General features: G+C 43.4%; 1 long non-coding RNA gene across 5 annotated transcripts in view; it reads left to right on the top strand.

The window, feature by feature from the left end:
- The window catches only part of LOC105375336 (uncharacterized), a 52,145-nt gene that overhangs the window by 19,728 nt on the left and 7,370 nt on the right, over positions 1 to 25,047 (top strand). For 2 of the 5 annotated variants that reach the window (XR_007060359.1, XR_927617.3), the window contains one exon: positions 22,492 to 22,806. The exons of 1 other annotated variant lie outside the window; for it this stretch is intronic. This is a non-coding gene — a long non-coding RNA (uncharacterized LOC105375336). Of the gene's footprint in view, positions 1 to 31; positions 263 to 22,491; positions 22,807 to 25,047 lie in introns of those variants that run through there. 2 more of the 5 variants (XR_002956510.2, XR_002956509.2) reach the window with 2 other exon arrangements.

Below are 25,047 nucleotides of genomic sequence, written 5' to 3'. Positions count from 1 at the left end.
AAATTTCAAAAGCTTTTGTCATTTCACTTAGAATAATCAGTAACTTTCTTTTGGAGGACCCATTTGGTGTTACATCAGGCACACAGGTGGTACAATCCACGAACTAAATGCACTTCTCCCACCCTCTTTCTCCAAGTGAACTCTGAAGACAAAACATCTTCCGTGTGTGTGTGCAAATCTTCCATGTGTATCTTCTGTACTGGTGTATAACATTTTTTAAAAACTGTAGTAAAATACACATAACATAGCCGGGCACCGTGGCTCATGCCTGTAATCCCATTTCTTTGGGAGCCCGAGGCAGGCGGGTCACCTGAGGTTGGGAATTCGAGACCAGCCTGACTAACATGGAGAAACCCTGTCTCTACTAGAAATACAAAATTAGCTGGGTGTGGTGGCACATACCTGTAATCCCAGCTACTCGGGAAGCTGAGGGAGGAGAATCGCTTGAACCTGAAAGGCAGAGGCTGCGGTGAGCTGAGATTGCGCCATTGCACTCCAGCCTGGGCAACAAGAGTGAAACTCTGTCTCAAAAAATATATATAAATAAATACACATATCAAAATCTAACATTTTAGGCCAGGTGTGGTGGCTCACAGCTGTAATCCCAGCACTTTGGGAGGCTGAGGCGGGTGGATCGCTTGAGGCCAGGAGTTCAAGACCAGCCTGGCCAACATGATGAAACCTTGTCTCTACTAAAAATAAAAAATTAGCCAGGCATGGTGGCAGGTACCTCTAATCCCAGCTACTCGGGAGGCTGAGGTAGGAGAATTGCTCGAACCTGGGAGGTTGTAGTTAGCCAAGATTGCGCTACTGCACTCCAGCCTGGGTGATAGAGCAAGACTCTGTCTCAAAAAAAATTACCATTTTAACCATTTCTAAGTGTACAGTTCAATTGTTGCAACCAATATGCAGACCTTTTCAGTTTGCAAAACTGAAATTCTGTATCCCTTAAACAATTCTGCACTTGCTTCTCCTCTGTCCCTGGCAGCCACCGTTCTGGTTTTTGTTTCTATGAGTTTGACTCCCTCATACAAGTGGAACCATACGGTGTTTTTTTCTTTTTTTTAAGTCATATCTGAATGTTTAATTTTTAAAATTATTTTAACAATTGAAGTGTGCAGTTCAGTGGCATTAAGTAAATTCACATTGTACAATCATTGCCATCTATCCACAGAACATTTTATCTTGCAAAACTGAAACTCTGTGCCCAGTAATCAATAAATTACCCATTCTCCCCTCCTCCTAGCCCCTGGCAACGACCATTCTATTTTCTGTCTTCATGAATTTGACTATACTTAGTACTGCATGTAAATGGGATCGCACAGTATTTGTCCTTATATCATTTAGCATAATGTCTTTGCCCGGGCGTGGTGGCTCATGCCTGTAATCCCAGCACTTTGGGAGGCTGAGGTGGGCAGATCATCTGAGGTTGGGAGTTCGAGACCAGCCTGACCAACATGGAGAAACCCTGTCTCTACTAAAAATACAAAATAAGCCAGGCGTGGTGGCGCATGCCTGTAATCCCAGCTACTTGGAAGGCTGAGGCAGGAGAATCACTTGAACCCAGGAGGCGGAGGTTGCAGTAAGCTGAGATTGCACCATTGCACTGCAGCCTGGGCAACAAGACCAAAATTCCATCTCAAAAAATAATGTATGAGAACTTCCTTCCTTTGTATGGCTGAGTAATATTCCATTTTATATGTAAACCACATTTTGTTTTTCTTTCTTTCTTTTTTTTTTTTTGAGATGGAGTCTCGCTCTGCTGCCCAGACTGGAGTGCAGTGGAGCAGTCTCGACTCACTGCCATCTCTGCCTCTCGGGTTCAAGCGATTCTCCTGCCTCAGCCTTCCAAGTAGCTGGGATTACAGGTACTCGCCACCAAGCCTGGCTAATTGTTTTGTATTTTTTCAGTAGAGACAGGGTTTCACCATGATGGTCAGGCTTATTTTTGAGCTCCCGACCTCAAGTGATCCATCCGTGTCGGCCTCCCAAAGTGTTGGAATTACAGGTGTGAGCCACTGCGCCTGGCCCACAGTTTGATTTTCTAACATCCATTGATGGATACTTCCTTCCACCTTTTGGCTATGGTGAATAATGCTGCTATGAGCATGGGGGCTCAGATATCTCTGTGAGACCCTGCTTTCAGTTCTTTGGGTACACAGAAGTGAAATTGATACATCATATAATATTTTTGTTTTTAACTTTTTTGCGGAACTACCATACTATTTTTTTCTGTTGGCTACACCATTTTACAGTCCTAACAACAGTACACTAGAGTTCCAATTTCTCCACATCCCTGCCAACTTTTCTCATTTATTTCCTTCCTTCTTTCCTCCCTCCCTCTAGCATCTATGAAGTGTGAAGTAGTCTCTTATTGTGGTTTTATTTTGCATTTCCGTAATGATAAGTGATGCTGAGCATGGTTTTACATGCTTATTAGCCATTTGTATGTCTTCTTTGGAGAATATCTATTCCAGTCATTTTCCCTCTTTTTGTTTTTGAGACAGGGTCCCACTCTGATGCCCAGGTTGAAGTACAATAGTGCTATCTTGGCTCACTGCAGCCTTGACCTTCCCAGGCTCAGGTGAGCCTCCTCAGTAGCTGGGACTACAGGCATGCCACCACCATGCCCACTTAATTTTTGTATTTTTTGTACAGACAGGGTTTCTCCACATTCCCTGGGCTGGCCTCAAATTCCTAGGCTCAACTGATCCACCCACCTTAGCCTTTCAAAGGGATTACAGATGTGAGCCACCACACCTGGTCCTTTTTCCAAATTCGAATGAGGTTTTTTTGGTTCAGTTTTAGGAATTTTATATATATTCTGGATATTAATCCTTTTGTAGATATATGGTTTGCAAATATTTTCTCCCATTCTGTGGGTTGTCTTTTTACTCTGTTGGTAAGAGTCCTGTGGTGCACAAAGTTTTTAAATGAAGTCCAATTTGTCGCTTTTCTTTTGTTACTTGTGCATTTGATGTCAGAAATCCAATAAACTATTATCAAATTCAGTGTCATGGCTAGGCACGGTGGCTCATGCCTGTAATCCCAGCACTTTGGGAGGCCGAGGTGAGCGGATCACCTGAGTTCTCAAGTTCGAGACCAGCCTGGCCAACATGGCGAGACCCTGTCTCTACTAAAAATACAAAAATTAGCTGGGTGTGGTGGCGCACGCCTGTAGTCCCAGCTACTCAGGAGGCTGAGGCAGGAGAATCTCTTGAACCCAGGAGGTGGAGGTTGTGATGAGCCAAGATCATGCCATTGCACTCCAGCCTGGACAACAGAGTGAGACTCTGTCTCAAAAAAAAAACAAAAAACAAAATTTCGGTGTCATGAAGCGTTTTCTGTATGCTTTCTTCTAAGAAGTTTATTGTTTTAGTCTTATGTTTAAGTATTTGATCCTCTATTTAAAAATTAAAAAGAATTTTAAATTAAAAGATTTAATTGACATAATTGTGCATATTTATGGCATATAAAGTCATATTTTGATATGTATATAATATTTAATGCTCAAATTAAGGTAATTAGCATACTTATCACTGCAAATATTTATCCATTTTCAGTTAATTTTTGTATATAGCATAAGGTAAGGATCCACCTTCTTTCCTTTGCATGTGAATATCCAGTTTTTCTAGTACCATTTGCTGAAAAGATGATCCATCTCTCTTGAATGGTCTTAGTCTCCTTATCAAAATTATTTGACCATATATGCAAGTGTTTTCTTTCTGGGCTCTCTACTCTGTTGGTCTGTATATCTGTTTCTCTGCTAATACTACACTATTTTGATTGCTATAGCTTTACAAGAAGTTTTGAAATTGGGAAGTATGACTACTCAGACTTTATTTTTCTTTTTCAAAATTGTTTTAGCTACTTGGGGTCCCTTTGGATTTCATATGAATTTTAGGATGGATTTCCCTATTTCTGAGAAAAATGCCAATGAGGTTTTTTTTTTTTTTTTTTTTTTTTTGAGACAGAATCTCGCTCTGTCACCTAGGCTGTAGTATAATGGCGTGATCTTGGCTCACTGCAACCTCTACTTCCCGAGTTCATGTGCCACCATGGCTAATTTTTTTATTTTTAGTAGAGATGGGGTTTCACTATGTTGTCCGGGCTGGTCTCGAATTCCTGACCTCGTGATCCATCTACCTTGGCCTCCCAAAGTGCTGGGATTACAGGTGTGAGCCACCGTGCCCGGCCTACCATTGAGATTTTGATAGGGATTGCATTGAATAATATATCAATCACTTTAGGTAGTATTGACATCTTAATATTAGGAAGTCTTCAATGGATGTGCTTCCATTTGTTTGTGTCATCTTTCACAATTTCTATTGTTGTTGTTATTGTTGTTTTGAGATGGAGTCTCGCTCTGTCACCTAGGCTGGAGTACGGTGGTGTGATCTCTGCTCACTGCAACCTCTGCCTCCCGGATTCAAGCGATTCTCCTGCCTCAGCCTCCTGAGTAGCTGGGATTACAGGCACGTGCCACCACGCCCAGATAATTTTTGTAATTTTAGTAGAGATGGCATTTCACCGTGTTGGTCAGGGTGGTCTCAAACTCCTGACCTCAGGTGATCTGCCGGCCTCAGCCTCCAAAAGTGCTGGGATTACAGGCGTGAGCCACTGCACCCGGCCAATTTTTGTATTTTTAGTAGAGATGGGGTTTCGCCGTGTTGGCCAGGCTGGTCTTGAACTCCTGACCTCAGGTGATCCCCCTGCCTCGACCTCTCAAAGTGCTAGGATTACAGGCATGAGCCATCGTGCCCGGCCTATGTAACATTTTTGAATTGACTTGTTGATACCTGCAACAAATCCTACTGAGATTCTGATTGGGATTGTGTTATATCTATAGGTCAGTTTTGGCAGAGAATTGACATCTTGACAATATGAATAATTTTATTTATTTATTTATTTATTTATTTATTTATTTATTTATTTTTGAGACAGAGTCTCTGTCGCCTAGGCTGGAGTGCAGTGGTGCGATCTCGGCTCACTGCACGCTCCACCTCCTGGGTTCATGCCATTCTCCTGCCTCAGCCTCCTGAGTAGCTGGGACTACAGGTGCCTGCCACCACGCCCGGCTAATTTTTTGTATTTTTAGTAGAGATGGGGTTTCACTGTGTTAGCCAGGATGGTCTCGATCTCCTGACCTCGTGATCTGCCCGCCTCGGCCTCCCAAAGTGCTGGGATTATAGGCGTAAGCCACTGCGCCCGGCCAACAATATGAATAATTTAAGATCAGTCAAAGGTTAAAAAAAACAACAACAATAGTGAGCCTTCCAGTCCATGAAAACAGTGTAGCGTACAGGTTCTGCACAAATTTTTTAAAATTTATACCTATTTTATAATTTTGGGTGCTATTATAAATGGTGCTCATTTCCAGTTCTTGATTGCTGATATAGAAATATAGCTGAATTTATATTGATCTTATGCCCTCCAGCCTTGCTAAATACACTTATTAGTTCCAGGAACTTTTTTAGTTTATTCTTTAGGATTTTCTATGCTGACAGTCATGTTGTCTGCAAATAGAGTTTTATTTCTTTCTCATCTGTATGTCTTTTCTTTTTCTTATTTCATTGCCCCAGCTGGGGCCTACAGGACGATGTTGAGTAGGAGTGGTGAGAGCAGACATCCTCATCTTGTCCCTGATCTCAAGGGAAACAGTCAGTCCTTTACCATTAAGTATGATGTTAGTGTAGGTTTTCTATGGATGTCCTTCAACAGGTTTACGAAGTTCAAATTGCTGAGATTGGGTGTTGAATCTTGTCACTTGCTTTTTCTGTATCTATAAATCTAAAAAGATTTGTAGTCTTTTGGCTGTATCTTTTTTGTTTATTTTTATTTTTAGTAGTTACTGTAAGGATAATAATATGCATGCCTGACCATTTATAGTCCAGAGTTAATATTTGACCAGTTAGTAAATGTATATAAGTCTCTTTACATTATAGTTGTTGTATTTATAACATATAATCTACATACATTGAAACATAAAATCTAGGTACTGTTAGTAGTGTTTTAACATTTACTTTCTATATTCTTTTTTTTTTCTTTTTTTGAGACAGAGTCTCACTCTGTCACCAGGCTGGAGTGCAGTGGCGCGATCTTGACTCACTGCAACCTCGGACTCCCTGGTTCCAGCTATTCTCCTGCCTCAGCCTCCTGAGTAGCTGGGATTACAGGCATGTGCCACCACGCCAAGCTAATTTTTATATTTTTAGTAGAGACAGGGTTTCACCATGTTTGCCAGGATGGTCTCGATCTGCTGACCTCGTGATCTGCCCACCTCTGCGTCCCAAAGTGCTGGGATTACAGGCGTGAGCCACCGTGCCTGGCCTATTTACTTTCTATATTCTTACATATTTTAAAGAACTTAAGATAACAAAAATAGTCTTTTATGTCTACCCAAGATGTCATCATTTCTTTCACTCTCTGTCGCCCAGGCTGGAATACAGTGGTGCAATCTCGGTTCACTGCAAGCTCCGCCTCCTGGGTTCACGCCATTCTGCTGCCTCAGTCTCCCAGGTGGCTGGGACTACAGGCGCCCGCCGCCACACCTGGCTAATTTTTTGTATTTTTAGTAGAGACCGGATTTCACCGTGTTAGCCAGGATGGTCTCGATCTCCTGACCTTGTGATCCGCCTGCCTCGGCCTCCCAAAGTGCTGGGATTACAGGTGTGAGCCACAGCGCCAGCCAAGAATGTAATTAGTTTCTTTCATTCCTGAAGGATAATTTCACTGGGTTGATTGGTCTTTTCCTTCAGAACTTTAAAGATGTCATTTCAGTGACTTCTGACTGTCACAGTTTCTGATTAGAAATCTGTAATCAGGCCAGGTGTGGTGGCTCATGCCTGTAATCTCAACACTTTGGGAGACCAAAGCAGGAGGATCACTTGGGGCCAAGAGTTTGAGACCAGCCTGGGCAACATAGCAAGACCCCATCTCTTTTTTTTTTAAGACAGAGTCTCGCTCTGTCACCCAGGCTGGAGTGCTGTGGCGCAATCTCTGCTCGCTGCAAGCTCCACCTCCCAGGTTCACGCCATTCTCCTGCCTCAGCCTCCTGAGTAGCTGGGACTACAGGCTCCCGCCACCACGCCCAGCTAATTTTTTGTATTTTTAGTAGAGATGGGTTTCACCGTGTTAGCCAGGATGGTCTTGATTTCCTGACCTCATGATCCACCCGCTTCGACCTCCCAAAGTGCTGGGGTTACAGACATGAGCCACCGCGCCTGGCCCAATTAATTATTTTTTAAAAAATAGAGATGGGGGCCGGTCGTGGTGGCTTATGCCTGTAATCCCAGCACTTTGGGAGGCTGAGGAGGGCGGATCACAAGGTCAGGAGATCGAGACAATCCTGGCTAACACGATTAAACCCCATCTCTACTAAAAATACAAAAAATTAGCCGGGTGTGGTAGCGGGTGCCTGTAGTCCCAGCTACTTGGGAGGCTGAGGCAGGAGAATGGCATGAACCCGGGAGGCAGAGCTTGCAGTGAGTGGAGATCGTGCTACTGCACTCCAGCCTGGGAGACAGAGTGAGACTCTATCTCAAAAAAAGAAAATAATAATAATAATAATAATTAATTGAAAAAAAGTTTTTAAAAATCTGCTATCACCCTAACCCTAATGTGTCATTTTCCTCTGGCTGCTTTTAAGATTTTTGTATTCCCTCTCTACTCCCACTGCTTCACTTGACTAGCCTAAGGAAAATTTTTTTAAATAAAATTAAATTTGAAAAAAGATTGTTCAAGTCTTTGGTCTGCAATAATTTGATAATGATATATTTCAGCATTTTTTCCCCAATTTATCTTTACTGAGCTTCTTGATTATGTAAATTTATGTTTCTTACTAAATTTGTGAAGTTTTTAACTATTCTTGAAATATTTTTCTGTCCCAAACTCTTTCTCCTCCTTTTCTTGAATTCCAAAAACACAGTGAGCTGAGACTGTGTCACTGCCCTCCAGCCTGGGTGACAGAGAGAGACTCCAATCACCCAATCACTCCTGGGTGATTGGTAGACCTCTGATGCTGCTGTACAGGTTTCTGTGGTTCTGTTCCTTTTTTTAAAAAAAATTATATTTCAAATGGAATAATTTCTCTCTTTTTTTCTGTCTCTTTTTAAATAGAGACAGGGTTTCACTCTGTTGCCCAAGCTGAAGTGCGGTGGCGCGATCAGGCTCACTGCAGCCTCAAAGTCTTAACGGGATAATTTCTGTTGATCTGTCTGTATACACACAGATTGTTCTGGCATCTTCCGTTATCAAGCCTACCAGTGAATTTTTCATTTCAGGTATTTTTCAGTTCTAAAGTTTCCATTTGGTTATTTGTTATAACTTCTGTTCTTTCCTGAGAACTAGTATTGTTCCATTCATTTCAGGAATGTTTACTTTTACCACCGGTTGTTATAGTAGCAGAATCTTGATAATTTTAACATCTGGGTCATCATGGGCTTGGCATCTGTTGATTACCTTTTCCCTGGAGAATGAGTCATATTTTCGTGGTCGAGGTAATTGTAGATTGTATCCTGGGCATTTGAGTATTATATTGTTTGGACTCTGGGTCCTGTTAAAAGCCTCTGGTTTGTGTTTTAGGAGACTGTCAATCCAATTAGGTTCGGACTTCAAGTCGGGGCAAGGATTTCAGTGTCATTTGGTTTTTGAAACCTTTGCCCTGCCACTCTGAGTCTTTGCATATGGGACTGGACTGGCGGTGGAACTTGCTCCCTTCTCACTCGGGGTCTTTGCTGTGCTGGGTCTGTTCCATGCTTGCTGTTTTGGTGCTGTTCTGCACATAAATAGCTCAGGTGAACCTAGGATTTGTGTTGATTGATATTCAAGTTTGGAGGAGTCCCCTTCTCTAGCTCTCCTCTCTGGGACTCCCCCGCTCGTACTCTGGTTCACATGAGATCCCTTTTTTGGTCCTCTAGCCACAAGTTCTGAGTTTCTCTCAAAGGTTTGCCTGCCCGTCTGTTTGTGGTTGTTCTGAATGTCTCTCAAAGGTTTACCTGCCTGCCTAGGTGTGGTTGTTCCCAGTGTCTCTCAAAGGTTTACCTGCCTGCCTGTGTGTGGTTGTTACTAGAGCTGTCCTTGGAGCAGAGCAGGGAAAGTGGAAAAGGAAAAAATGACTCTTGGGCACTTTGGAGAGCAAGGGCTCCCTTCCGGGCTATGCCTGCTGCTGGTCCCTGTGTTGGGGGCTGCCCTTGAGTTGTGAGCTCCTCCCAGGTCTCCAGCCTTTCTCAGTTCCCTGGCCAGAAAGATTGGGTTTCTCCTGGAGTTGGAGCTTTCTATAGAGGCCACCACAGCTGCACCAGGATTGAGGCCCTGAGAGAAAAGAGGGAAAAAAGCCCCAAGAAACTCAGATTCATCCTCCACCCCAAATGGTTCTCAGGTTTTGTTTCCCTCCCAGGCCACCTGCTTTTAATTTGCTTTTCAGAGTCCTCAGGTATATTTTTGTGTATTTTGTCTGGAGATTTCTTCTTCTTTTTTTTCTTTTTTTTTTTTTGAGACGGAGTCTCGCTCTGTTGCCCAGGCTGGAGGGCATTGGCACAGTCTCGGCTCACTGCAACCACTGCCTCCTGGGTTCAAGTGATTCTCCCACCTCAGCCTCCTGAGTAGCTGGGATTACAGGTGCATGCCACCAGCGCTAATTTCTGTATTTTTAGTAGAGATGGGGTTTCTCCATGTTGGCCAGGCTTGTCTTGAACTCCTGACCTCAGGTGATCCGCCGCCTCAGCCTCCCAAAGTGCTGGGATTACAGGTGTGAGCCACTGCGCCCAGCTGTCTCAAAATTTCTCATTGTAATCTATGCAGAGAGAAAGGCTTTCGTGGGCTTTCTCCATCTTGTCCTATAGCAGAAGTCCTAACAGTTGATTTCTAAGGCCTCTTTTCAGCTCTTTGTCTGGGCTGATGTATTGCTTCCTAAGCCCAACATCTTTTCCACTATAAATATGGACAAAGACTGTTCAAAAAACCTACACATAAATAGGCATTGTCTTGCAAGCTGATTCATGATTGGCCATAATCTATATAAATTTAAAGCAGACTGTAATATTCAAGAAGGATTAATTTCAACTCCTTTTTTCCACTTGTGATCTTGAAATCGAGGATTTTAAAAAATCTTTTTCTTTTTTTTTTTTTGAGACGGAGTCTCGCTGTGTCGCCCAGGCTGGAGTGCAGTGGCGCGATCTCGGTTCACTGCAAGCTCTGCCTCCCGGGTTCACACCATTCTCCTGCCTCAGCCTCCCGAGTAGCTGGGACTACAGGCACCTGCTACCATGCCCAGCTAATTTTTTGTATTTTTAGTAGAGATGGGGTTTCACTGTGTTAGCCAGGATGGTCTCGATCTCCTGACCTCATGATCCGCCTGCCTCAGCCTCCCAAAGTGCTGGGATTACAGGGGTGAGCCACCACGCCTGGCCAAAAATCTTTTTAAAAGGCTTTCTAAACCTTTTAACCTCAACCCTTTCATTAATTACTTGGTTCCATGACTGCCAAGAGCAAACGCTACAGGCAGTGTTGTTGTCCAACAGCCAGTAGAGGGAGAGGCAGGCTTCTTCACTGTGGCTGGGCCTGGCTCCTTCTCTGGGAACTTGCAGCCCTTGCAGTTCAAACAGCCTCAGTGTCCCGTGACCCAGGGAGCTGCTTGACCAAAGCCATCAAGACCTGGACCATTGTGTGCTAGTTGCAGCTTAAGACATTACACTTACAACAGGAACTCCTGAAGCGTCTTTAATCCTGGTGTTTGAATATTCACAACAGAATTTTTCTCTGCCATTCTCTCAGGGAGAGGAGATTCAAGATAACAGCCCTTAATGGGTCTGATTCTGTTAGTACAAGCTGGGGCTCTATTAACTTGCTTAAATACCTCCACTACCAGAGAGACCTTGCGGGTAGGGTAGGAACCATGTTTTGTTTGACTTTATAACCTTATTCAGCAAAGCAGTAGTGTTGGGACTCAACTGCAAGTCACTGTGATACGATGTCCTGTGTCATTTTTTCTTTTTTTCGAGGTGGAGTTTCGCTCTTGTTGCCCAGGCTGGAGTGCAATGGCGTGATCTTGGTTCACTGCAACCTCCGCCTCCCCAGTTCAAGTGATTCTCCTGTCTCAGCCTCCTGAGTAGCTGGGATTACATGCGCCTGCCATCATGCCCGGCTAATTTTTTTTTTTTTTAGTAGAAATGGAGTTTCACCATGTTGGACAGGCTAGTCCTGAACTCCTGACCTCAAAGAATCCACCCGCCTTGGCCTCCCAAAGTGCTGGGATTACAGACGTGAGCCACCGCGCACCTGGCTCTGTGTCATTTTTTTCTACAGCATGTTACTTCCTCTGAAGCATTTGGCTCTTTAATCATTTTAGTTTTTGCTTCAGGCACCTAGTTCCCAAAGAACTGCAGCCTGGCTTGTAGCCCCAGCTCTCATACTGACATCTCCTCCCTAAAGTATACAGCTCTGTGTTAGGGTTGGGATTAGGTCTGCCGGGAATATAGCAAGAGGACTTGCCTTCAAGACCCAGCTTAGATAGGGTCATAAATAACTTTGCATCCCTAAAAAGGACTCTTCTGGGCACAGATTATTCTTGGGAGTTGACAACGTATTTGGAATATGTTCCTCTGGGACCAGCAAAGCTCAGAGTCGACGGATGAGTTGTAGGTTTCCTGGTGTCTGCAGTCGGGTACCCTGGCTGCTTTCAGAGAGTGGAGTCCTGCCCCGTATCTCCCCAGAGTTTTCCCCTTTCTCTCCCATGAACTTTTGCAAGTCGGGGCTTCCCTAGCTCTTTCTCTCATGTATGCTTCAGATTACGTTTACCTCATGGCAGCTTTGTCTTGGTTGTTGGGGACACAAAGATGAACACAGTGGAGGTGCTATGGTAGGGACACGGTGGAGAGACACTGAAGTGTCAGCAAACACCATGTGCCAAGTAGGGCCTGAGATCAGGAAGTAGCCTCGTGCTTTTCTGTAGGGTGTTTGCAGTTTGGGTCAATTGGGATATGAGTGCAAAGTAGGGCCATACAAAGCTATAGAGACTGACAAAGACCAGATTTCAGAGGGTTCTGGGGGCTGAACTAAGGAAATTCAAGTTCAGACTACAACCTGTGAGGACAGTGGGAGGATTACAAGCAGGATAATGAGATGACTATGTTTCTGTCTTTTAAAAGAGACTTTATTTGTATGAGTGCAGATAGATTGAAAAAGTGGCAGCCCACTGAAGATGAAGGCCATCATCCTCTAACCAAGAGGTTGGAGTGGGCTGTAGAAATGGTGAGGAAGGGATAGGTATCTTTTTTTTTTTTTTTTTTTTTTTTTTGAGACGGAGTCTTGCTCTATCGCCCAGGCTGAAGTGCTGGAGTGCAGTGGCACGATCTTGGCTCACTGCAAGCTCCACCTCCCGGGTTCATGCCATTCTCCTGCCTCTGCCTCCCGAGTAGGTGGGACTACAGGTGCCCGCCACCATGCCTGGCTAATTTTTTGTATTTTTTTAGTAGAGACGGGGTTTCACCGTGTTAGCCAGGATGGTCTCGATCTCCTGACCTCATGATCCGCCCGCCTTGGCCTCCCAAAGTGCTGGGATTACAGGCGTGAGCCACCAAGCCCAGCATTTTTTTTTTTTTTTTTTGAGTTGGAGTCTTGCTCTGTTGCCCAAGCTGGAGTGCAGTGGCGCGATCTCGCTCGCTGCAATCTCCTCTTCCCGCGTTCAAAAGATTCTCTTGCTTTAGCCTTCCGAGTAGCTAGGACTACAGGCGCCCACCACTATGCCCGGCTAATTTTTATATTTTTAGTGGAGACAGGGTTTCACCATGTTGGCCAGGCTGGTCTCAAATTCCTGACCTCAAATGATCCGCCTGCCTCTGCCTCCCAAAGTGCTGGGATTACAGGCATGAGTCACCACGCCTAGCCTAGATGTCCTGAAAGAAGTGTAATCATTGATACTTGGTGACTGAATATGTGCAGTGGGTGAAGGAGGAGTCAAGGAGGACCCTCAGATTTCTGGCCTGGGTGCCTGGCACTTCACCGAGAAGAGAAGTACAATGGGAAGAGCTGGTTTGTTGGGAAGGCTGTAGGGTCACTCTGGGGCGTGTTAAGTTCATGGCATGTCAGAGATGTCAAGGTGGAGAAATCTAGCAGGCAGTCGGCCACAAATGTGTGAAGCTCAGGTCACATGGCATGAGGACATGGCTGTTTTTTAATTTTTAAATTTTTCTGAGTACATGATAGGTGTATATATTTTGGGTATATGGGATATTCCTTTTTTTATTTTGAGACGGAGTCTTGCTCTGTTGCCCAGGCTGGAGTGCAGTGGTGCGTATCTCAGCTCATTGCAACCTCTCTCTCCCAGGTTCAAGCCATTCTCCTGCCTCAAATTCCCGAGTAGCTGGGACTGCAGGCACCCACCACCACGCCCAGATAATTTTTTTGTATTTTTAGTAGAGACAGGGTTTCACCATGTTAGCCAGGATGGTCTCGATCTCCTGACCTAGTGATCCGCCCGCCTCAGCCTCCCAAAGTGCTGGGATTATAGGCGTGAGCCACTGCGCCTGGCCAGTATATGGGATATTACAATACAGGCATACAATGTGTAATAATCACAGTAGGGTAAATGGGGTGGCCATCACCTCAAGCATTTATCCTTTGTCTTATAAACATATCCAGTTATACTTTTGTAGTTATTTTTAAATGTATAATGAAATTATTGCTGACCATAGTAACCCTGTTGGATTATCAAATACTAGACCTTATTCATTCTTTCTATTTTTCATACCCATTAACCACGCACACTTCCCCCACCTCACCCACCCCACTGCCCATCCCCACCTCTGGTCTGCTGCTCTCTGGTCCTTCTCCTCTCTCTGTCTCCAGAAAGCATGGACTTCTTGGTTATAGCTTGTAGTGGTAGCTGACATTGTGAGGCCTGGGTGAGGACGTCAGTAGGAGGGTCAGAGGATGAAAGTCAGCACCATGAGAGTGCCAGAGCCTCGTGGGAGAAGAGAAAATCCAGAAGGAGATGAAGAAGGGAGAGTCGGAAATATCAGAAAAGAATTGAAAGAGAAGATGTCATGGAAGCCCCGAGGGCAGGCAGTTTTAAGGAGGGAATGATCAGCAGTGTCAGATGGAGTAGGACCGAGGAGCAACCGCTGGATTTGTCCATGTGGAGGCACCAGGCCCTTGAAGGAAGAACACTTTTGGTGATCGCTTGGGCAAGAGCTAGGGTGCAGGGAGTTGAGAAGCAAGGGGAGAAAGTAGAGACAATGAAAGAGGTGGCCGGGTGCGGTGGCTCACGCCTGTAATCCCAGCACTTTGGGAGGCCAGGGTGGGTGGATCACAATGTCAGGAGAGCAAGACCATCCTGGCTAACACGGTGAAACCCTGTCTCTACTAAAAATACAAAAACTTAGCCAGGCATGGTGGCACACCCCTGTAGTCCCAGCTACTCAGGAGGCTGAGGCAGAAGAATTGCTTGAACCTCGGAGGCGGAGGTTGCAGTGGGCCGAGATCACGCCACTGCACTCCACTCTGGGCAACAGAGCAAGACTCCATCTCAAAAAAAAAGAAGAGGTTTGGTTAACCCCGGGCGCGGTGGCTCATGCCTGTAACCCCAGCACTTTGGGAGGCCATGGCAGGTGGATCACGAGGTCAGGAGATCGAGACCATTCTGGCCAACATGGTGAAACCCCGTCTCTACTAAAAAAATATAAAAATTGGCTGGGCATGGTGGCATGTGCCTATAATCCCAGGGGAGGCCTGGCTTCTCCTGGCCTCTTAAATGGAGGCACTTTATGGTGTTCTGTCCTGGTCTTCACTCACTCCACAGTTGGTTTTTGGAGCATAATATCCACTCCACAGTTTCATATAACTCCTTGCAATTAAATCTAGTGCTGGTTTTTTTCTTTAGTTCTAGACCAAATTAGGCCTCAAACTAGACACGCTTTTTTTTTTTAAGACACACTTTTGACAGAAACGTCTTCAGAGGTATAAAGGTACTGCAAACTCAAATTTCATTTTAAATAATTTTTTTTTTTTGAGACGGAATCTCGCTCTGTCACCCAGGCTGAAGTGCAGTGGTGCAATCTCGGCTCACTGCAAGCTCCACCTCCCAGGTTCATACAATTCTCCTACCCCAGCCTCCCGAGTAGCTGGGACTACAGGCATCCACCACCACACCTGGCTAAGTTTTTGTATTTTTGGTAGAGACGGGGTTTCACCGTGTTAGCCAGGATAGTCTCGATCTCCTGACCTCCTCCCAAAGTGCTAGCATTACAGGTGTAAGCCACCGTGCCCGGCCTAAATAATGTATTTTTTTCTAAACAACCTAACCTTAACTATCTGTTCCTTCACTCCTCCTCCCCCGACACAATCTACACAGGTCCTGTTGACTTTACCTGAGGGTAACGGGAAGCATTTCACCTGTTTAGACACTTACTGGCATGCCTGCCGCTGCTGGCCAACTTCATAACCTTACTCTTGCTCACCCAGAGGGTGTTACAGTGCGTTCCTCACTGTCTGCCTCCATTTTCTTGGGTCTTCCAGAATCGCTGCCAGCACCAGCCAGAACATGCCCCTCTTCCTTGGTTGTTCTCCTATATTGACCAAGTCACACCCAGCCTCTTGATAGTCAGGGCCCTTTCGATCTTGTCCCAGATGACTTTTTCACCCCATGTCCTACCCCTCTCTAGCTGTTTCCTGAAACTCCGGGAGCTTTCTTTCCTCTGGGCATGTCTTTGTGTTGTTCCTGCCCTGGCTGTCTGTCCCTTCCATCCCTTTTGTGTTGAAAAGCCTTCAGGGTCTAGTGCAAGGGTCATCTCTGTGGAGTCTCCTTTCTTGAGTCTAGAGTAAACATTTGGGGGAGTAAACATTCTACAAGCAGTAGAAATTGACTAGAACTGCCCTAATAATGACTGCCATTTATGGAGAAACTATCGTGGGACAGATGGCATTATGACACTTTCGATCCATTATCACATGTACAGTAGAAGCAGATGGCCAAGAACAGGAGCTTTTCTGCCATTTACTAGCTTTGCAACTGTGGACAAGTTATTTGCTATCTCAGTGTCAGTGAAATCTGAGGATTCAATGTACTTGCACATGGAAAGCAAGCAATAAATGGTAGCTGCAGCCTCTGGGAAGATTTTCATCCCTCTTAATCCTCTCATAAGATAGTAAGTACTGTTATCATTCCTATTTCACAGATGAGGAAATTGAGGCTCAGGGAGAGTGGGTAAGTGTTCTGCTTCCCCCAACACATGGCTGCAGGAGTCATGGCTTCTTCATGTTTTCACTCCAGAAGCTCTTTAACGCAGTAAATACTTACTGAGCTGATTGGAAAGATGGATCTGCAGCTCCAGGGTCAAATTGAGAGAGAAATGTAGAAGTTGTCGCCTGCACAGGGGTGGTCACTGCAGTCATTTGATCTCCTCTGAAGTTCTGTAGTCTTTCAGGGTCCACACTGTTCGGCCACCCTTTCAGCAATGAGCTGTGTCTTTCTTTGAGGCAGATGATCACTATATCTGTCACTCAGATCTTTTGTTGTGAAAATTTGCATGTATTTGTCTTTTTTCTCCAGCTGGGTTAAGTGCTTTCAGGGCAGAGGCACTGTACCTGTATTTCTGTTTATTAACTCCTGCCTCTTTAAGTCCCCGTTTTGTTTACTAAGATAATAGGTGAAATCTGGGAAACATTAAATCTTCATCTCGAAAAGGAATTCATCCATTTCTAAGAGATGACCAAACAAGATGATTTTGTATGTTTTAATTTTTTAGTTTTAGAGATAGGATGTGGCTCTGTCACCCAATCTGGAGTGCAGTGGTGCGATCATAGCTCACTTCAGCCACCAACTCCTAGGCTAAAGTGATCCTCCTGCCTCACCCCCCTTGTCCTCTGCCTTCCGTAGTTGGGACTACTTGTGTTTCACCAGAAAAAAATCAGCTTCCTGTTTGAATACCCACTAGACATTTAAAGTTCTACAATAAACCCATCGAAGATGCAAAAAAAGCGCCTCTGCAAAAACAAAAAACCCACAATCAAGCATCATCGACTCCCCAAGTAAACAAAATGGTAATATCAAAAAAACAGATAAAGCTGTCATCCACCAAAAAAGCGGAGCTGCCGACCTGGGGTCCACTAAAGAAGCTGACACAGTTAGCTAAAAAAAGCCTAAAAAAACAAGGGTAATACAAACTCTAGAAAATATACTGGTTACAGCTTTGATAATTGTATCAACGGTGGTAAGTCTCCTCATGTCTGCAGAAACAGCTGCAGCTAATTATACTTACTGGGCCTATGTGCCTTTCCTGTCCTTAATTTGGGCAGTCACATGGATAAATAATCCTATTAAAGAATATGTTAATAATAGTGCGTGGGTACCAGGCCCCACAGATGATCGTTGCCGTGCCCAATCAAAAAAAAAAAAAGAAATAATAATAAATATTTCCATTGGGTATTATTATCCCCCTATTTGCCTAGAAAAGGCACCAGGATGCTTAACGCCTACAACCCAAATTTGGTGGGTAGAAGTACCTACTGTCAGTGCCACCAGTAGATTTACTTATCACATGGTAAGTGAAATGTCACTGGAGCCACAGATAAATAATTTACAGGACTCTTCTTATCAAAGATCATTAAAATTTAGGCGTAAGGGGAAGCCTTGCCCCAAGAAATTCCCAAAAAATCAAAAGGCCCAAAAGTCTTAGTTTGGAAAAAATGTGTGACTGATACTGCTGTGGTATTACAAAACAATAAATTGGAAACTATTATAAACTGGGCCCCTCGAGGCCAATTATATTATAATTGTACAGGCCAGACTCACTCATGTTCACAGGCCCCATCCATCTGGCCCATTCATCCAGCCTCTATTAGTGATTTAACTAAAAGGCAAGACCAGGTTTTATAAAGGTTTAAATCACCCTATCCATAAAAATGGGGTAAAAAGAGAATTTCATCACCTCAACCAAAGTTAGTTCGTCCTGTTACTAGTCCTAAACATCCAAAATTATAAAAACTTACTGTGGCTTTGCACCACGTTAAAATTTGGTCTGGAAATCAAGCTATAAAACCAAAAAGTCGTAAGCCATATTATACTATCAACCTAAATTCCAATTTAACAATTCCTTTACAAAGTTGTGTAAAACCCCCTTATATACTAGTTGTAAAAAACACAGTTATTAAACCAGATTCCCAAACTATAACCTGTGAAAATTGTAGATTGTTTACTTGCATTGATTCAACTTTTAATTGGCAGCACCATATTCTGCTAGTGAGGGCAAGAGAGGGCATGTGGATCCCTGTGTCCATAGACCGACCATGAGAGTCTTCCCCATCTGTCCGTATTTTAACAAAAGTATTAAAAAAAGTTCTAACTAGATCCAAAAGATTCATTTTTACTTTAATTATGTGATTATGGGTCTTATTGCAGTCACAGCTACTGCTGCGGCTGCTGGAATTGCTTTACACTCTTCTATTCAAACTGCTAAATATGTAAATAATTGGCAAAAGAATTCCTCAAAATTGTGCAATTCTCAGACCCAAATAGATCCAAAATTGGCAAACCAAATTAATAATCTTAGACAAACTGTCATTTAAATGAGAGATAGGCTCCATGAGCTTGAAATATCTTTTTCAGTTACAGTGTGACTGAAATACGTCAGATTTTTGTATTACACCCCGAGCCTATAATGACTCTGAACATCAATGGGACATGGTTAAACGCCATCTACAAAACAGAAAAAATAATCTTACTTTAAATATTTCAAAATTAAAAAACCAAATTTTTAAGGCATCAAAAGCCCATTTAAATTTGGTACCAAAAACTAAGACAATTGTAAAAGCTGTTGATGGCCTCACAAATCTTAACCTCGTCACTTGGGTTAAAACTATCAAAAGTTCCACTATTGTAAATTTGTATTAATCCTTGCATGCCTGTTCTGTCTGTTGTTAGTTTACAGGTGTATCTAACAGCTCCAAAAAGACAACGACCAACAAAAACAGGCCATAATGACTATGGCGGTTTTGTCAAAAAGAAAAGGGGGATATGAAGGGAAAAGAAAGAGAGATCAGACTGTTACTGTGTCTATGTAGAAAAGGAAGACATAAGAAACTCCGTTTTGACCTGTACCCTGAACAATTGCTTTGCCCTGATATGCTGTTAATCTGTAACTTTGCCCCAACCTTGTGCTCACAAAAACATGTGTTGTATGGAATCAAGGTTTAAGGGATCTAGGGCTGTGCAGGATGTGCCTTGTTAACAAAATGTTTACAGGCAGTATACTTGGTAAGAGTCATCGCCATTCTCCCATCTCAATAAACCAGGGGCACAATGCACTGCGGAAAGCCGCAGGGACCTCTGCCCTGGAAAGCCCGGTATTGTCCAAGGTTTCTGCCCATGTGATAGTCTGAAATATGGCCTCATGGGATGGGAAAGACCTGACCATCCCCCAGCCTGACACCCGTGAAGGGTCTGTGCCCTGGAGGATTAGTAAAAGAGGAAGGCCTCTAGCAGTTGAAATAAGAGGAAGGCCTCTGTCTCCTGCCTGCCCCTGGGAAGGGAATGTCTTGGTATAAAACCCGATTGTACATTTGTTCGATTCTGAGATAGGAGAAAAACTGCCCTGTGGTGGGAGGCGAGACATGTTGGCAGCAATGCTGCTTTGTTATTCTTTACTCCACTGAGATGTTTGAGTGGAAAAAAGCATAAATCTGGCCTATGTACACATCCAGACATAGTACCTTCCCTTAAACTTATTTGTGACACAGATTCCTTTACTCACATTTTCTTGCTGACCTTCGCTCCACTATCACCCTGCTCTCCTGCCACATTCCTCTCACTAAAATAGTAAAAATAGTAATAAATACTAAGAAAACTCAGAGACTGGTGCTGGTGTAGGTCCTCCATATGCTGAACACCAGTCCCCTGGGCCTACTTTTTTTTCTCTATACTTTGTCTCTGTGTCTTATTTCTTTTCTCAGTCTCTTGTCCCACTTGATGAGAAATACTCACAGGTGTGGAGGGGCAGGCCACCCTTTCAGTATTTTTAGTAGAGATGGGTTTTATGTTGGTCAGGCTGGTCTTGAACTCCCAACCTCACGTGATCCACCCACCTCAGCCTCCCAAAGTGCTGGGATTACAGGCATCAGCCACCGCACCCAGCCCCCAAATTATTTTTTAAAGCAGAAGACTGTGGAAATAGTGGATATATAAAGGTGATGGGATTATGAATATGGTTTCTTGTTAATGTCCCCTTAATATATGATATTTTTCAAGGCTACAGAGTCTATAAAATAAGGAAAAATGTTTACAGGGAAGATGGGAGTGATAATTTCCTGGAATGGGACTGGTTTTTCTGGACATCATGAGATACTGCTCTCCATGATTAAACAGTAATTGACATAAAGTCAACATTAATATAATAAAAATATTGGTGAATCAAGTTTTCAAAACACAAAAATGTTGTACACGCTAGTGGTTCTATAAATAACACATGCTTTTATTTAACATCAAGACACTTCAGGGCAAAGACACAAAGTACTAAACGGAATATAACAAACTTATTTTTGTATTGATAAATACTTACCAAGTAATAACTGTAGTATATAAAATATAAGTCCAAAGACACTGTTTGGCTGGTTTAATACACCATCCTTTCCAAAAATGGAACCCAAAAGACCAAATCCTCGACCCCATCTGTAAAATAAGGAAAACCAGTAACCCTATATTTGAATTTCCCTATTTTAAAAAATGTATCATTATTTGAGAACGTTATCCAATTCTAAAATCAACTAAGTTGTGAAATGTCTTAAATGTCCTGTGTTGAGAGAGTGATTTGCCCCAAAGAGAGGGAGGCCAGTCACTAGATTTCTGATTAGAAATAATCATCTAAAATGAACATATCTAAAGGTGCCAGTATACCCATCTGAATCTCTCAGTTGCCAATTTCTATATATTCTCTTCTCCAGAAGGTAGGGCAAAGTATTCGTTTTCCAATGGCATTAGTATTTGCAGAAGGAGACTTCTCTATGCAGAAGGAGACAGTTGTCCACTGTCTCTTAACAGTGGACTACTGACATTTTGGGCTAGATAATTCTTTGTGCTGTGGGGTGTTCTGTGCATTACATAACAGTACCCCGGGGCTCCCCCAACTAGATGCTGCCAGTACTCCTCCACCCCAGGTGTGACTACCAAAAATGCAGTCACAGCCATTGCCAAACGTCCACTGGGAAACAACTGCCACCAGTTAAAAGCCATAGATGTAAGGGGTGCTATTTATTCACTCAAAGAATATAGATTGAAAAGTTGTTTCTTCACAAATTTCACCAGGATATGCATTAAGAAATATACTGGGAATGTATTTTTTAAATGTAGGACTGGGCCCGTGGCTCACTCCTGTAATCCCAGCACCTTGGGAGGCCGAGGTGAGCAGATCACGTGGTCAAGAGTTTGAGACCAGGCTGGCCAACATGGTGAAACCCTTGTCTCTACTCAAAATACGAAAAATTAGCCCAACATGGTAGTGCGTGCCTGTAATCCCAGCTACTTGGGAGGCTGAGGCAGGAGAATCGCTTGAACCCAGGAGGCAGAGGTTGCAGTGAGCCGAGACTGCACCACTGCACTCCAGCCTGGGCAACAAGAGCAAAACTCCACTTCAAAAAAAAAATGCAGGACGATATCAGAAACTGTAGGTCTTTCCTAGAATCCTATCTCAGAAGTAAAAAACCGGATACATTATATGCCCTATCAGTTTTTATTTGCAATTTAACTTTAAATCTTGGATATGACTTAATATTTTTAAAACCTGATTTTCTTTTTTAAATTGTTAATACTGATTTGATAAAACTTGATACAAATAACAAGCTAACATTCATTGTGAATAACAAAACCTTTAAAGATAATGTTAACTCTGGCTTGAACGAGAGTGCTTCTTAAATGCTAAAAAATAAATAACCAGTTATGGTGTTAAGTCAGTAGAGAAACACTCTAAACAAAATCTAAACTTTGGTTCTGAAGACAAACTGCCCCAAAACAAGGATAAATAAGTGATTCTCCACGGACCACAATAGTTTAATGGCACTCGATGCCCAAGATACAGAATGAAACCCCTGTGTAACAGTGATGTTGGGAGAGAAAAATCACCCCGATTTTACAAACAAGTGAAAGCCATGAAGATTTTTTTTTTTTTTGAGACGGAGTCTCGCTCTGTCACCCAGGCTAGAGTGCAGTGGACGGTCTCAGCTCACTGCAAGCTCCGCCTCCCGGGTTCATGCCATTCTCCTGCCTCAGTCTCCAGAGTAGCTGGGACTACAGGCACCCACCACCACGCCCGGCTAATTTTTTGTATTTTTTTTAGTAGAGACAGGGTTTCACCATGTTAGCCAGGATGGTCTCAATCTCCTGACCTTGTGATCTGCCCAACTTGGCCTCCCAAAGTGCTAGGATTACAGGCGTGAACCACCGCGCCCAGCCGCCATGAAATTTTATTGTACAATTATACAATCCTTTTTTTTTTGTATTTTTTGTAGAGTTGGGGCTTTCCCATGTGCCAAGACTGGTCTCGAAATACTGGACTCAAGCAATCCCCCCACCTTGACCTCCCAAAGTGCTGGGATTACAGGCCGAGCTATGACACCCAGCCTTCAGTTATACATTTCAAAGAACATAAAATAATTTCCATTATATTCATTTATTCTTTCACTCATCTAAATACTTATTGAGCATGTACTGTGTGCACTGACGCTACGTGCCGGGGATCCAGAAGTGAACGAGCCAGACGAGGTGCTGCCCTTGTGGACCTTAAATTCTATTTAGGGAAGAGAAACAATAAACATGTAAACACATTCCAGATTACCTGCAGCAATGGACACACCTTGTAACAGATACACAGGAAAATTAGAAGGGGAAACTCTAGATCAGTGCTTCTGAAATTTTTAAAGCACAATCACTTTGGGGTCTGGTTAAAATGCAGCTTTTCCTTCAGTGGGTCTGTGGTGGGGCCTAAGACTCTGCATTTCCAGAGAAAACACAACACAAAATGAAATGCTTGCAGGCAACACTGACGCTTCTGGTCTGAAGCCCACACTTGGAGATCCATAGCTGTGGGCAGAGAAGGGGTGCAGCAAGCTCCTCTAGCTTGATGATCGGGAAGGACCTTTTCCAGGAATGAAGTTTTGAATGAGATCCTGAGTGATGGTAAGCAATCGGTCTCATGAGCAATGGCAAGTCAAAGGCCTTGAGGTAGGAATGAGCTGTGGGTGTGCCAAGGAAGGCCACTGAGGCTGGGGCATGGTGATTGAGGAGAGTGACAGGAGAACTGGGAGCGAGTCCAATCATTTACATTATTTAGGGCCTTGTGTGTAGGCCATGCCGAAGAGTTTGAATTTTATTCTAATTGCTATGAAAGACGTTTAGTAGCTTTCAAACTGGAGAGTGAGATAAGCTTATTTATGATCACTCTTCGCTGCTGCATAAAGAACAAACTGCTGGAGGCCAGAGTACAGATGGGGAAACTATATGTAATCAAACCTCTTAGCCCTACTCATCCCAGGCAGGAATTCCAATTTAAATCACTGCCTTTGGCAACAGAAATAAATGGCATACTGCCAAAATTATCATGGCTAAACAGAATTTTTATATATTCAAAGCACTGGTCTATGCCTGATTATTCATGTAAGAACACATGGGTATTTTCCTCGAAAACAATGTGGCAATCCACAAATGAATATATTATCAAAGTTATACATGCATAAGGTTTCAAAATAAAATAAAATCAAAGCCTTCTAATACAGAGATGTTCCCTCCTCCAGCCCTCCCCAAGTCAGTTCTCATCCCAGAGGCATCCACTTTGATGTCTGTTAACTGTTTTCACTGTTATTTAGCTCCACATTTCTAAATAATATGTTTACATTGCTATTTCTTTTTTTTTCCTTTTTGAGACAGTCTCACTGTGTCGCCCAGGCTGGAGTGCTGTGGCATGATCTCAGCTCAATGCAACCTTTGCCTCCTGGGTTCAAGTGATTCTCCTGCCTCAGCCTTTTGAGTAGCTGGGATTACTAGCACCTGCCACCATGCCCAGCTAATTTTTGTATTTTCAGTATGGATGGGGTTTCATCATGTTGGCCAGGCTGGTCTCGAACTCCTGACCTCAGGTCATCAGTCCGTCTCGGCCTCCCAAAGTGCTAGGATTACAGGTGTGAGCCACTGCATCCAGCCCTAAATATTATCTTTTGACTTTCTAATATTGTAAGCCAGAATGTTGCTTTTTTTTTTTTTTTTTTGAGATGGGGTCTCACTCTGTCAATCATGTTGGAGTGCAGTGGTGCGATCTGCGCTCATTGCAACCTCCACCTCCCAGTCTCAAGCAATCTTCCCTCCTCAGCCTCTCAAGTAGCTGGGACCACAGGCGTCCACCACCATGCCTGGCTAATTTTTATATTTTTAGTAGAGATAGGGTTTCACCATGTTTCCCAGGCTGGTCTCGAGCTCCTGAGCTCTGGTGATCCACCTGTCTTGGCCTCCCCAAATGCTGGGATTACAGGTGTGAGTTACTGTGGCTGGCTAAATATTGCTTCTTTAAAAAAAAAAAGTTTACTATGTAATAGAAAACTTCAAATGCATATACACAAAGTGAAGAGAAGAGTGTAATAAACACCCATGTATCATTTTGCTATGGTAAAGAGAAAAGGTATTATAAAAACAAAACACACACAAAAATACAAAAAATCCCAGGTACCCATCACCCAGCTTCAATAATTATGCCTTTCTTGTTTCATCTCCACCTCTACATACTCAACACTTGAGAATTACTTTTAGTTCTTTTATTTATTTTTATTTTTATTTTTTGTGACAGAGTCTCGTTCTGTCACCCAGGCCAGAGTGTAGTCACACTTTCTCGGCTCACTGCAACCTCTGCCTCCTGGGTTCAAGTAATTCTCCTTTCTCAGCCTCCTGGATAGCTGGGATTACAGGTGCCCACCACCATGCCGGGCTAATTTTTTGTATTTTTGGCAGAGCCTGGTTTCATCATGTTGCCCAGGCTGGTCTTGAACTCCTGAGTTCAGGAGATCCACCTGCCTTGGCCT

The sequence above is a fragment of the Homo sapiens genome, chromosome 7 (assembly GCF_000001405.40).
Source record: "Homo sapiens chromosome 7, GRCh38.p14 Primary Assembly".
NCBI classification, from domain to species: Eukaryota; Metazoa; Chordata; class Mammalia; order Primates; family Hominidae; genus Homo; species Homo sapiens.
Note: the sequence above shows the minus strand (reverse complement) of the source record. Positions and strands in the feature narration are given on the sequence as shown.